This window comes from Homo sapiens, chromosome 1, assembly GCF_000001405.40.
Source record: "Homo sapiens chromosome 1, GRCh38.p14 Primary Assembly".
Classification (NCBI taxonomy): domain Eukaryota; kingdom Metazoa; phylum Chordata; class Mammalia; order Primates; family Hominidae; genus Homo; species Homo sapiens.
Window position 1 is genome coordinate 22,258,021 of NC_000001.11, and position 12,650 is coordinate 22,270,670.

A 12,650-nucleotide genomic window follows, 5' to 3' on the forward strand; every position below is an offset into this window, starting at 1 on the left:
CCCGCGACTTTCCAATTTCCTGGTCTGGCCTGGCTCTGCTCCGCACCGTGAATTTTTCATTAATGTGCACAGGTGACGCCACGGGGCAGCCGCAGGCCAGGTAGGCTCCCACGGCGGCAAGGCCTGGGCTGGACCTTGCTGGGCTGGGCTGGGCTGGGGATGGCACAGCGGGTTTTGTACCAACAAGGATTAGAAATAGCATCACGCTGCGGCTCAAGATCATGCCCTGGATTTAAATAGCCAGGGCGGCCAGGCACAGTGGCTCACGCCTGTAATCCCAGCACTTTGGGAGTCCAAGGCAGAAGGATCTCTCCAGCCCAAGAGTTCAAGGGCAGCCTGGTTAACATAGCGAGACCCTGTCACTACAAAAAATTTTTAAAAATTAGCTGGGCATGGTGGCATGTGCCTGCAGTCCCAGCTACTCGGGAGGCTGAGGTGGAGGGATGGCTTGAGCCTGGGAGTTGAGGTTGCAGTGAGCTAGGATCACACCACTGCACTCCAGCCTGGGCGACACAGCAAGACCCTGTCTCAAATAAACAAACAAATAAGCACACACAAGAACTAGAAACCCCCTGTGTCTAGAGGAAGGAAGGGGCGTCCACTGGCCTGTGCCAGACTCTGGGCCGGCGTTTGTTGCACATGACCTCATTTCACCCTCAGAAGGCCATGAGATAGCCTTATGCACCCCACTTGATGGATGAGGAAAGTGGGGCTCTGTTGGTGAGTGAGTGGCGGTGTCAGCTCTGAACCCAGCCAGTCTGATTCTAGAACCTGAGTTCCTAACTGCTAGGCTGTTCTCATTCATTCCTTTCTCCCTCCTCTTCTCCCCCACGTCTGTGGGTCCTTTCCATGTAGTCATAGTTACAGAGGCAATGGACACATTGAAGAGAGGAAAGAAAACAAACACGACCTAGAATCTACGGGGAAGGAAGCCTTCTAGACTCCAGACCTTCCGTGTCCAGAAGTGTCAGTCTTCACATCTGTGAGGTGGGGCCAAGGAGTCCTGCCCTGCCATGCTGGGTGTTGACTTCGGGGAAGGGGCCTTGGGATGTCTATGAGGATGCAGCTGCTGCCTTCTGTCTTGGCAGAGACCATGGCCACCCCAGGACACCGTGTTTGGTCCCCGCTGTGCTAAGTCTCCTCCAGGCACCAGCCAGGCATCAGTGGAGCACAGCGGAAATGGGTCCAAAGCCACCCACAGAGGCTCTGTGTGGTTCTTGGATAATTCTGGAAGGCTCTAGAGAAGGCAACAAGAAGGCAGGAACCCAGGGCCAGAAACTGGACAACTTGTGTGTGTTTGTCTGTAAAGTGGGGCTAGGAATCCGCGTGGGGGTCAAATGAGAACAGCTCTGCCTCCCAGCGCACAGTCCCGCGTCGAGGTCAGAGAGCCTCTTAGGCCCTGGCTCTTTTGGGAAATCATCCCAGGGGCTAAAGACAAAACTGAAGTTGAAATAAACATGGGGGTCCAAACACTCCAGAATTCTGAGTGAGGGAATCTCCTCCCAGGCTTCCACGCCAGGCCCGAATGCAAACAAGAGGCAGCAGGGGTGGCTTGGGCCCCTCACACAGAATTAGTGAGATTAGCTGAGAACCAGAGCCCAGCAGATGTCCCCTCTCTGGACTCGGTGACTCACTTGCCTCCCTGGTTGAGAATCGTATCCGGCTGGGCCTGAGCTGTCCTGGCTGGCGGGGAGCTGGACGCAGGGCAGAGGTCGGGGTAAACACCCGTGCTCCAGGCGGGAGGTCGGGATGGGGGTGGTGACAAGGAGGACAACATTTCCACTCAGCAGAAAGAAGAGCCTGAGCTGCCCTAGAGCCGGAGGCGCTGCCTGGAGAGGTCGTGAGGACCCGGTCCCAGAGGTGTGCAAGCTGGGTACCCTTTGAAGACTATAGGAGGATTCCAGTTGGCGCTGGGAGTACTCCAGGCAGGATGCCAGTTCAGGTCCTTCGTGCATGAGACTCTCCCAGAGAGGCAGGCAAACATTTTCTGGGAAGGGCCAGATAGTAAATATTTCAGGTTTTGCGGGTCATCCTGCTATCTCTGTTGCAACTGCTCAACTCTGCCACTGTAGCTTGGAAGCAGCTACAGACAATACATAAATGAATGGATGTGGGTGTGGTTTTGTAAATAAAACTTTATTTACAAAAACAGGCAGTGGGCCAGGGGTGGACCCTGAGCCACCGCTTGCCAACTGTATAGAGCCTCCTGGAAGCTTGTGGATTGCAGGGCAATGACGTGACTCTTCTGCATTTGACCTTGCAGGTGGTGCCGCTCCACCTGGATGGGTTTATTCTTCCGTTTTCTCTTCCCTCGATGGGTTTATTCTTCCGCTTTCCCTTCCCTCCCTCCCTCCCTCCCTCCCTTCCTCCCTCCCTTCCTTCCTCCTTTCCTTCCTTTCCACCCATTCACTCATTTATCTCTCTATTCAGCCATATACTTCATTGTTTCAACAAATCTCTGCTTCTTGTTCTAGCTCTCTAACTCACTCACTCACTTATGAATTCATCCAGTCATTTATTCACTCACTTATTCATTTACTCTACTGGAAGCTCAGGGTTCTATTGTGGAAAATGTGGAAACGCTAAAGGAATTGGAATTCTTTTATCTGGGGAGACTCTGGAAAGTGCAGGGATTAATGATTGTCTCTTAGGCTCTGTTACATTTATAGGAAGAAGATTCTGGGCAGTTCTTGATTCACTCATGAGTCCTGCATTGTTTGCATACCCAAATCCTCCTCTAGTTGAGGCTCTGCACTAGGAATACAGCAGCAAAGATTCTGTCCTTGCCTTCCTGGAGCCTGTGTTCCAGTCTAGACTCAGGTTGTAAATAGATGGGATGTTCCAGGCAGGGAGAAGAGCACAAAGACCAAGAGGTGAGACAGAGGGAAGTATGTTCCAGAAACAGAAGTTGGGTCTGATTGGAGCACAGTGTGTGCGCATTTGTGTGTACGTGTACGTGCAGGTGTGCGGCAAGTGTGCATGTAGGTGTGCAGCAGGTGTGTGTGCAGATGTGCGGCGGGTGTGCGTGCAGGTGTGCGGCGGGTGTGCGTGCAGGTGTGCGTGCAGGTGTGTGGCAGGTGTGCGTGCAGGTGTGTGGCAGGTGTGCGTGCAGGTGTGCGTGCAGGTGTGTGGCAGGTGTGCAGCAAGTGGTGAGAAGTGGGGCTGGAACCCGAAGAGCCTTGAATGCTGGGCCGAGGAACTTCACTCTTCATACTGGTAACAATGGGGGGCTGTAAGACAGAGCTGTAAGCAGGGGAGGGCATGGTAGGCTTGGAATTTAGAAGCAACCTCTTGACCATCTGCAGAGAATGGGTTATTTAGATGTGGGCCTCGGCGAGGGCTTCCCCGGGGAAGGGGCCTTTCCGCTGGGCCAGAAGGGGGGCATTTCCAGCGTGGACTTCCTGCAACCATTGCCCCCCACACCTGTGGCTGCCCTTTCCTCCCACTTGGGCCTTCCCTACAAGGCAGGGGGTGGTAGAGACAGAAGCAGTGCTTTCTGGGAGTTTAGGTTGCCTAGGCAGGGGTGGGGCTGAGGGACAGGAGGTGGTGGGTGAGGGTGGGGAGATGCCTCTCTCCTTTCCTCTCCCTCATGAATAGACTCACGCTTGGCCTCCCGATCTCACCATTTCCACCTTTTCCTGCCTCCTTGGACTCCCACCCCGAGCTAAGGCTGGGGTCCACAATGTTGGGCCTTATGAGGCCACTCCCAGGATTCCCACCCTGCCCCTAGTGCTTATGGAGAGGCAGCCAGAGTTGGCAGCCTCCGCTGTGACACCAGCTTGCTGTGTGGCCCTGGGGGAGCCTCTGCCCCTCTCTGAGCTTCAATTTCCCCACTCATAGCGCAGTTCCAATCTCATGGGACTATCACAAAGATTCCAGGGCACTTGGCTCAGTACCTGGGCTCAGCACCTGCTAGTTATTATCAAGGCTAAGACGCACGAGTCACTGATAATTGTTACTCAGGATAACTATTGTTAGGTGAATGAAAGAAATGAGCTGCCAGGTAAAGATCATGCTACTGGCCTGGCAGGATGGGCTGTGGTGGGAGGATGGAGGTTTGGGGCCTGTTGTGAGTTCAGCGAAAATATAATAGGAGGAAAATAGCAACATTTACTAGCCACCTGTGCAATTTGGGGCAATTTCCTCACCTCTTTGAAAATCAGTGTTTTGTAGAGGGTGGATGATGGTAAGGCCCTCTCAGGGGACTGTGCGCACTGAAAGAGATAATGCACTTGAAGGGCCTGTGCTCAATAAATGGTAACTAACATCTTTTTTATTAGGACCAAGCACCCACCAGTGTCCTATGGGTCTTGAACCTTCGGATCTTCCCACCTGTCAGTGTGGTTCCCACTTGGCGGGAGAGGAGACCAAGGCTCAGAGAAGTGAAGTGCTGTGCCCCAGGTCACACAGCAGGCTGAGGCCAGGGCAAGATGAGGGGGATGTGGGGTAGCAAACCCTAAAAACGAGCTACTGACCACTTCTGCCTGTCTCCACTCTCAGGCTTGACTTTTACATTCTCCATGCCACTCACAGGGACCCTTAGTCTGTTCCCACGCCCTGTGGACTGCCCTCCTGCCCCACTGGGCTGCTGATGCCCTGAGTCTGGAAAGTTCCCCAGCCTAGGAGAGATAAGGGCTGCCTTGCCCAGGTTCCTGGGTAGCGCCTGCCTGCGGCCCCTTTGATCTCAGACCAGATGGTCCTACCAGCCCAGCTGCTGGAGGAGCCAGGCCTCAGTGATAGGGGCCGGCCCTGGGTGGGGCCGGGCCTGGTATCAGCCACCTGGAGGGAGCACCTCCTGCAGTCACCATGGCAACGGGCGCCCATGCCTGCAAACAGGAAGCTGCTCCTGGGCTGGTGGTGGGATCGGCAGGCGTGGTAGAGACCCAGACTCTTTAATCTTCTAGAGGAAGAGGTCCAGGGGGCAGGGCCTGGTGTGGGCCACCAATCTCCTGTCTCCCTGGAGAGTGTAGGGGTGAGGCAGAGCAGGGATGACCCCCGAACTACACAGTTGCCCAGGTCCTGACTGAGGTTAGACTGTGGGAAGAACTTCCCCAGGCAGCTCGGGCTCCGCAGCCTAAGGGGCTGGGCAGACTCCTTTCCTAGGATGCATCCAAGTGGGACATCCAAGCCAGGCTGTGGTCCCCTGCTGTCCCAAGAGGGTGGCAGCGCCAGGTCAAGGCAGCTGGTGACTCAGTGACCAGGGCTTCACAGCACTCCAAAGAGCCTCCTGACATGCCGAGGGGCCGTGGGAGCCTTGTTCATGGCTGGGTAGCCTTAAGCGAATCACTGTTTTCTCATGTGCCCAGTGGGAATGCAGACTGTTCTTCGTAGGGCTGGAGAGGAGCTCATGGGAGCATCTGGGTGATGCTCAGGACTCAGGCAGCTTCACATTTGGTGTCCCTCTGCAGCCCTGACCCTAGAGTGCAGCAACACCCCTACCCCAGCAGCCGTGCAGTCCAGGGGACGAGGGGCTGCCAGGTCGAGGGAAAGCCCCCGCTAGATGCCAGGCCCTGGAGCCGGCCACCTGCCCTGCTGCCTCTCGTGGCATCCTTCCAGCAGCCCTGAAAGGCGGGGCCCATGCTCCTCATTTTACAAACCAGGAAACGGAGGCTGGTGGGCTTCAGGAGCTCTCACTGTGTCTTGGACTTTCTGATATAACTCTGTGGGTCCTGGGATTTCAGGCGGAAGCTCAGCCCGGTTTGTGTAGAAGAACTTGGGGACTTAGAGAGAAAATCATTCCCTTGGTGGCCCTGTTGGTCTTGGGCAGCCAGAACAGGGGCAGGGACACGGGGGACATTGGGGTCCCCTTAGACCTCGGACCTGTCCTGCTCCATCCTTCTCTGTTGGCTGGGCGAGCTGGAGCAAGTGGGGCCAAATCATGGGAGCCATCCTCCTCCACCGAGTCCTTCCTTCAGTCCTCGACATGGAGCTTCTAGAATGTGCCAGGCTCTTCACTGGGTGGTGGTGGTGGGGTGGGGGTGTCCAGAGACAAAAATGATACAGTTGTGCTTTGGAGAACAGTGTGTGTGTGCATGTGTGTGTGTACACACGCGCTTGTGCAGATAGAGGGATGTAAGAGTGGTGTGGGCAGTGTGCCGATGATCACAGTGGTGCTGGCACCATACAGGAGGATGGTGCTGCGGGGGAGGGTGGTGGTCTTGAAGTTAGTGGCGGTGGTCTTAGGGATGGTGCTGGTGACAGTGGTGCTGGTGACAGTAAAGACGTGTGAGACAGCAGCAGCCCTCCCTCTCTCGACCCTGAGGGCCACAACCAGCCCCCACCTGGCCATGGCAGCTCCTTCTAGGCCCCACCTCTTCCTTCTGGGGTCAGCCCTTCTGAGGCCTCAGTGAGCCCAGGCTCCTAGGAACAGCAGGCCAGAGAGGGTACATGTCTGGCTCAAGGCAGAAGCAAGGGAGAGACGGATCCAGGTGCCTCGTCCAGACCTCTGCATTACCCTCCCCCAACCCCTTTTTCACATTCTATAAGCATTTCCTGGGCCTGTGCTCGGGGTCAGGCCCTGCACTGGCATCTGCACTAGGTATTGGCGGCATCACTGTGCCTCCTGCTCTCAGAGACCTCCATCTAGACAGGAGGGAGACACTCAGCCAGGCCAGGATAACACAGAGACCAGGACGGGCAGAGGGCGGTGGCAGCCCCAGCCTAGAAGTGGCAAGGACATCGGACTGAGGCTTTGAAGGATGTGGAGGAGTTTACTCACTGGGGAAGTAAGCGCAGACGGCCCTGCAAGTGGAAAGGCCTGGAGGTTTGAAAGGTGGCATGTTTTCGGGAAACAGAGGCTGGAGTCGGGCTGGAAGAGGCTGAAAAAGAGAGTGGGGTGGGGCCAGGTCGCTGTTGCAGCACAGGCAACTTAGAGGCTGTCCCACCCTGACGGGCATCCCCTCTGCTCCCTAGCCCCCACCCCCATACCAAACCCCTCCTGGGGATCACAGTACCACCCCTCCCCCCAAATAACTGGAATTGTTTGAAAATACCCAGCAAGAATTCAGCTCAGCAGGTTATACTGGTCAGGGGAAGCAGCTGATTGGGGGTCTGGGGGTGGGGGAGGACTCAGTGGGACTTCCTGGGAGAAGGTGAGAGGTCCTGACCTTAGGCCAGGGCCAGCGCCCCTGTGAGCACTGATCCAGGAGCAGATTACAAGGGAGACTGGAGCCAAATCCGCTTTGAAAAAGAGCTGGTGGAGTTTAACTCCCGCTCAGTGAGGTCACCTGGAAAAGCTCCTTCCCTGCCTGGGAGCCGGGTGTAGAGTTGGGGTGAGGGGGATGTGGGGCCAGAGCAGAGTTCTGGTAAGGAGCTCTGTGTGTGTGTGTGTGTGTGTGTGTGTGTGTGTGTGTGTGTGTGCGCGCCAGGGTGTATGTGCATGTATGTGTATATTTGGGGATGCATGTATGAGGACGTATGTGTATATCTGGGGATGTGCATGTGTGTGTGTATTTGTGTGTGAGCGTATCTGTGTGGTGTGCGTCTGTGTTTGTTAGTAGATAGTGCATTTGTGTCTCTGCCTGTTGGCCTCGCGATTCATCCATGGTTACCGTACTGACACCTGTGTGTGTGTGCGTGTGTGTGTCGTGTCCACCCCTGCACACACATGCACACTTCTGCGCAGCTTTTTCATGTCTGCTTCCATACATTTCCCTTTCCTGCTTCTCTCCACCCTTCCTTCCCAATCCTCAGCCCCACCACTATGCCAACATTCCTTCATTCATTCCTTCAAAAAATGTTTCTCGAGGGTCTGCTTTGTGCCAGGCACTGTTCTAGGCTCCAAGCATGAACGGGAGATAAGAAGGCGGGAGAGGCTTCTACTTTCATAGAAGCGTGTGTCCTCTGTGATGAGGTAGACATTAAACAGACAAGCCATTAGTAATATGGCACATAGTGACGCATGCTAGGGAACGAAATTCAGCAGCGTGAGGGGAAAAGGAGGGCTGTGTTACATGGCCTCTCAGGGAGGGCCACTGAGAAGATACCTGAGCAGAGACCTGAAGGATGAGAGGCTGGAGATGTCATTCTCTGGAGGCAGGGTGCCCAGGCTGAGGACGCAGCTAGTCAAAGGTCCCTAGGTGGGAGCATGCTTGGGGGGTTCTAGGGACGGCAAAGGGGCCAGTGTGGCTGGAGTGGACAGGTGAGGGGGAGGGTGGGAGGAGAGGAGTCAGCAGAGCCTCTGTGTCACCCAGGGGCCTGGGGGGCCTCCTGGGGGCTTTGGTTTTTGCTCTGAGTGACCGTGGTGGTTGTGGGAGTCACTGCAGGACTCAGCAGGAATTCTGGATAGTAAGTGGGAGGTGGGGGACCAGTGAGGAGGCTGTCGCCAGAACCCACTGAGACGTGGTGGTGGCTTGGGAACAGAGGGCAGAGCAGGGGAGGCGGGGGAGGCCCCATCTCAGATAAGTTGAGTGGGACGTCAGGGATTTGATGACCCAAGCCTGGAGTGGAAGATGTAAACCTGGGGGCCATTAGCAGTCCAGGGGCATGAGCCCAGTTCCCCTGGGAGCCACATCGCTCATTTGCTTGGCTGTGTGGCTTCTTGTGTGTGCAAAGCTTCAACGCCCCTCCCCTCTAGAGCCTTAGGAGAGGCCCCAGGGGTCAGCTGAGGTGGGGCCGAGCCGAACTAAGGGGCAGTGCCAGCAGTTGATTCAGGGCACCTGGGTGTTGGCATCAGACAGACCTTGGCTTGCATCTTCCTGTGACCTTGGACAAGTTCTTAACCACCCTGAGCCCCATCGTCTCATCTGTAAAGTGGAGATAATAGGAGTATCTCCCAGGCGGGCTGCTTGTGAGGGTTGAATGAGATGGTGCCTGTGTGGGACTGAGATGACACACAGCCCCCTTATTATTCATATTGACCATGAGCTATGGTGGCCCCTGGCAGGGCTTAGGAGAGGGGTATTTACTATGTGCCTGGTCCCTCTACGGTTGATAAACTTGATAAACGGGGAACCTGGAGCTCATCAAAGAGGCCAAGTGACTTGCCCAAGGCCACAAGGAAAGGGTGAAGCTGTCATTGGAACTGACTTCTAACCATGCTCCCCACAGCTTCAAGCTGCCGCTGCACAGGAAGCTCCAGGTAGGCGGAAGGAGTTGGGGTCTGAAGACTGACTCACCTGTCCAGGAACCTCTGCCCAGGGGTGTAAGGACTGCCGTGGTGCAGCCTCATGGCATCCCCCATTCCCCCTGCAACAGGGCCCTGGGTGTTCATTTCAATCCGATTTTTCTTTTCTTTTTTTTTTTTTTTTTGAGATGGAGTCTTGCTCTGTCACCCAGGCTGGAGTGCAGTGGCGCCATCTTGGCTCATGGCAAGCTCCGCCTCCCGGTTCAAGCATCAGTCCAATTTTTCTAAAGCAAATGTTGGCTTCTGGGGAGAAGGTGTGGCCGGACAATTTCCAGGAGCACATGGCCCTAGGCATACTGACCCTTTGAGATGGCCTTAGTTTGGGCAGGGATGCTGCAGGTGGTCAAAGCTGGACCTCCCGCCCAATGGAAGGTGTTGGGTGGCTGGCCCCCAGCTGTGTGGCGTGTGCATCGCTGGGCCTGAGTGTGTGCGTGTGTGTGTGCATGTGTGTGTGTGCATGCGTGTGTGTGCATGCGTGTGTGTGTGTGTGCGTTGTTGGGGTGGGAGTGGGAAGTCAGACCTGTGTGGCAAAAACCTGAGTCTAGTGGAAGGCCTCCCCTGCCCCTACCCACCCTCCTCCCTGGCCGAGGGGGCTGAACCGTGGCTGGAGGGAGCCACGTCAGGCTGGGATCTCCGAGGGGTCCTTGAACCACATCTGAGCTCTGGGAAGGCTCCCCGGTGCATGGAAAGCAGAGAGGGAGGCTCCGTGGTGATTTACAGGCACCTCCTTTTGATCGTCTCGCTCCCTTGGAGAGATCCCTCCTCCGCACCTGGGGGCTGCAGGGGAGGGGGGGCGCAGGGGGTTCTCAGCTGGCCCAGGGCAGCAGGGTCTGGTGTCCCTGGGATACAGGAAGCTTCCTTCTCTCTGGCATGGCCTTGCTGGTACCTGGCTGCTTGTGCATATCACTGAGCAACCCAGCTCCTGTCCAGCGGGGCGGGGTCCAGAGCACACCCCTGGCGCTCGGGGCTGGGCCTGCCTCCCCACACCTGGCTCTGCTTCCATTCTTCCAGGGACAATGCGACTGTTTCACTGGCCTTGTCTTCTGCCTAGACCCACGGGGTTTATTCTTCCTGCCTCCCTGCCTGACATTCCTGGACTCCACTCCAGGCGTTTGAAAGCCCTGGATGTCCCAACAATTTCAATTTTTTTCCCTGGTCCTAAGGGGCCAAGAAGCCCAGCTTTCAGGCAGGGTCTAGGCATGGCCTATGGGGTGGTCAGCAGTGGGCAGGTGCAGATGCAAAGGAGGGCAGAGGTTGCTGAGGCTGTGGATGGCCTTGTGACAGGTCCCGAAAGGGCACCTGAGCTAGGACGCCCAGGCGGGACTGCGAGGGAGGTGGCCACTCTGGGGCAGGGTGGGGACAGCCCTCAGGACTCCTCGGGCCTGAACGTCTTTGGGAGGAACTCTAGCATGTCCAGGGCAGGGCGGGGGTGCCTGGGAAAGCGGAGTGAGGGAGCCCCCGGCAGGCTTGTGTCAAGGCAGGGACAGGTGCCTTCCTCAGGGCCCAAGTGACTGGTTTTACCTCCTCTCTCACCGTCAAGTCCATGGGTGGGAGTGGAGGCGGAGGAAGTAGGGGATGAGCAGGGGAGTTGCCAGACCAGAGACAGCTTGAACCCAGAGTCCACTGACGGGTTGTGGGGCTGAGAAAGGAGAGACGGGGATAGGAACAGCACGGAGTGCCAGCAGGAGGCCAGAGTGGCAGGGACAGGAGTGGAGTGACCTTGGGGGTGATGGGGTGGAGCTGTGTGCTGGGCGCCCTGTCTATCCACCCCACCATCTGGGGCCTCAGGGGCCCGGGGCCACCATCTGATTGTGGTCATTGTGGTCCTGGTCATTGCTTTCACCCCTCCTTGCCCCTCTCTCATCTCCTGCCCAAAGCCTTCTTCCTCCACAGAGCTTAAGGTTTACTTATTGAAATTAGCCCGTCTTTTTCTTCATGGCTTCTGGGTTTTGTAACACGCTGAGGAAGGGCTTCCCTACCCAAGATTCTGAAAATGTTTCCTTTTAGCGCTCACCGTTCTCTTCTCTTCTTTCTGTCCTCTGCCTGTTCCTGCCCCACTTCCCATGATTATCATGCTTTTGTTTGTTTGTTTTTTGAAGGAGTCTCCCACTGTTGCCCGGGCTGGAGTATAGTGGCGCAATCACAATCTCGCAATCTCGGCTCACTGCAACCTCCACCTCCTGGGTTCAAATGATTCTCCTGCCTCAGCCTCCCGAGTAGCTGGGATTACAGGTGCCCGCCACCAGGCCGGGTTAAGTTTTTGTATTTTTAGTAGAGACCGGGTTTCACTATGTTGGCCAGGCTGGTCTTGAACTCCTGACCTTGTGATCAACCGCCTCAGCCTCCCAAAGTGCTGGGATTACAGGTATGAGCCACCGCGTCTGGCCTGTTTGTGGGATTACAGGCATGAGCCATCTGTTTGTTGTTTCTCATCTCCCACTGGCAGAGAGGTTCCTTGAATATGCCCAGCACTTAGATAGTGCGTGGTGTATGGGAGGTGAGCAATACATCATATTGCATGTGGGACCAGGATGTGTGCCCAGGTCCCAGACCCAAGACGGAGAAGGTGTTTAGCAGAGAAATTGTTCTGTGGCTGTGCAAATTGAGGCTGATAGCAGCAATCCCAGAACGCATCTGTTGAGTACTTACCTGTACATTCAGGTAAATCACCTGCCCCAGCCCAGTCTCCTGCTCCCTCCCCGAACATTCTCCCCTTACCTGTCCAGGGGCCTCTGCTCCAAGTGGGCGGGCCTCCTCTAGCCTGGAGTCCCTTCTGTCACCTCTCCTCACAGCCCACACACTCCCCCATAGCTCCCCACTAATCTCTCTCCTCCCTAACTAGGGGTGGATGCAGGAACGTTGGCATCCATTCAGCAAAGGCCTGTTGGGTTCTAGTGGTGCTCAGAGCTGGGGTGCAGTGATGGGGGAGCCATGTTCCCTCCAGAGCTTCACAGAAGGCAGGCGACATACTCCACTCTTCCCACCATAACTACCATCCAGCCCACTGAAGACCACCATGAGGGTAAGGGTCCTCTATCCGGGATGCTGGCTGGACATCCTCTCTGGAAAGATGCAGTTTTATTTCTCACAACTCACATGTCATTGGTCCCAAAATTATTGCTTATGAATTCACTTGTATAGAAGTAGCCATTAATTTTCATTATAATTGGTGGAGAGAAGCGGCAGGGTTTCTATGAAGGGATAAGAAAGTTCAGCCTTGACCGGGCGTGGTGGCTCATGCCTGTAATCCCAACACTTTGGGAGGCCGAGGTGTGTGGATCACCTGAGGTCAGGAGTTCAAGATCAACCTGGCCAACATGGCAAAACCCCGTCTCTACTAAAAATACAAAAATTAGCTGGGGATGGTGGTGAGTGCCTATAATCCCAACTACTGAGGAGGCTGAGGCAGGAGAATTGCTTGAACCTGGGAGGCAGAGGTTGTAGTGAGCCGAGATTGTGCCACTGCACTCCAGCCTGGGCGACAGAGTGAGACTCCATCTCAAAAAAAAAAAAAAAAAAAGTAAGT

At 55.7% G+C, this 12,650-nt stretch overlaps 1 non-coding gene across 1 annotated transcript, besides 4 other annotated features; it reads left to right on the forward strand.

Annotated features, from left to right (window-relative positions):
- Positions 3,175–3,801: an enhancer, noted in NCBI's record as "H3K27ac-H3K4me1 hESC enhancer chr1:22587688-22588314 (GRCh37/hg19 assembly coordinates)". NCBI's record gives its function as "activates a minimal SCP1, AML or CMV promoter by ChIP-STARR-seq in naive H9 embryonic stem cells {active_cell/tissue: H9 hESC(naive)}" and the evidence as "EXISTENCE:reporter gene assay evidence [ECO:0000049][PMID:30033119]".
- Positions 6,019–6,902: an enhancer, noted in NCBI's record as "H3K27ac-H3K4me1 hESC enhancer chr1:22590532-22591415 (GRCh37/hg19 assembly coordinates)". NCBI's record gives its function as "activates a minimal SCP1, AML or CMV promoter by ChIP-STARR-seq in naive H9 embryonic stem cells {active_cell/tissue: H9 hESC(naive)}" and the evidence as "EXISTENCE:reporter gene assay evidence [ECO:0000049][PMID:30033119]".
- Positions 6,903–7,785: an enhancer, noted in NCBI's record as "H3K4me1 hESC enhancer chr1:22591416-22592298 (GRCh37/hg19 assembly coordinates)". NCBI's record gives its function as "activates a minimal SCP1, AML or CMV promoter by ChIP-STARR-seq in primed H9 embryonic stem cells {active_cell/tissue: H9 hESC(primed)}" and the evidence as "EXISTENCE:reporter gene assay evidence [ECO:0000049][PMID:30033119]".
- Positions 8,219–8,280, forward strand: MIR4418 (microRNA 4418). Its single transcript, NR_039613.1, has one exon. It is a non-coding gene; the product is annotated as a microRNA 4418 (primary transcript).
- Positions 8,442–8,961: an enhancer, noted in NCBI's record as "H3K27ac-H3K4me1 hESC enhancer chr1:22592955-22593474 (GRCh37/hg19 assembly coordinates)". NCBI's record gives its function as "activates a minimal SCP1, AML or CMV promoter by ChIP-STARR-seq in primed H9 embryonic stem cells {active_cell/tissue: H9 hESC(primed)}" and the evidence as "EXISTENCE:reporter gene assay evidence [ECO:0000049][PMID:30033119]".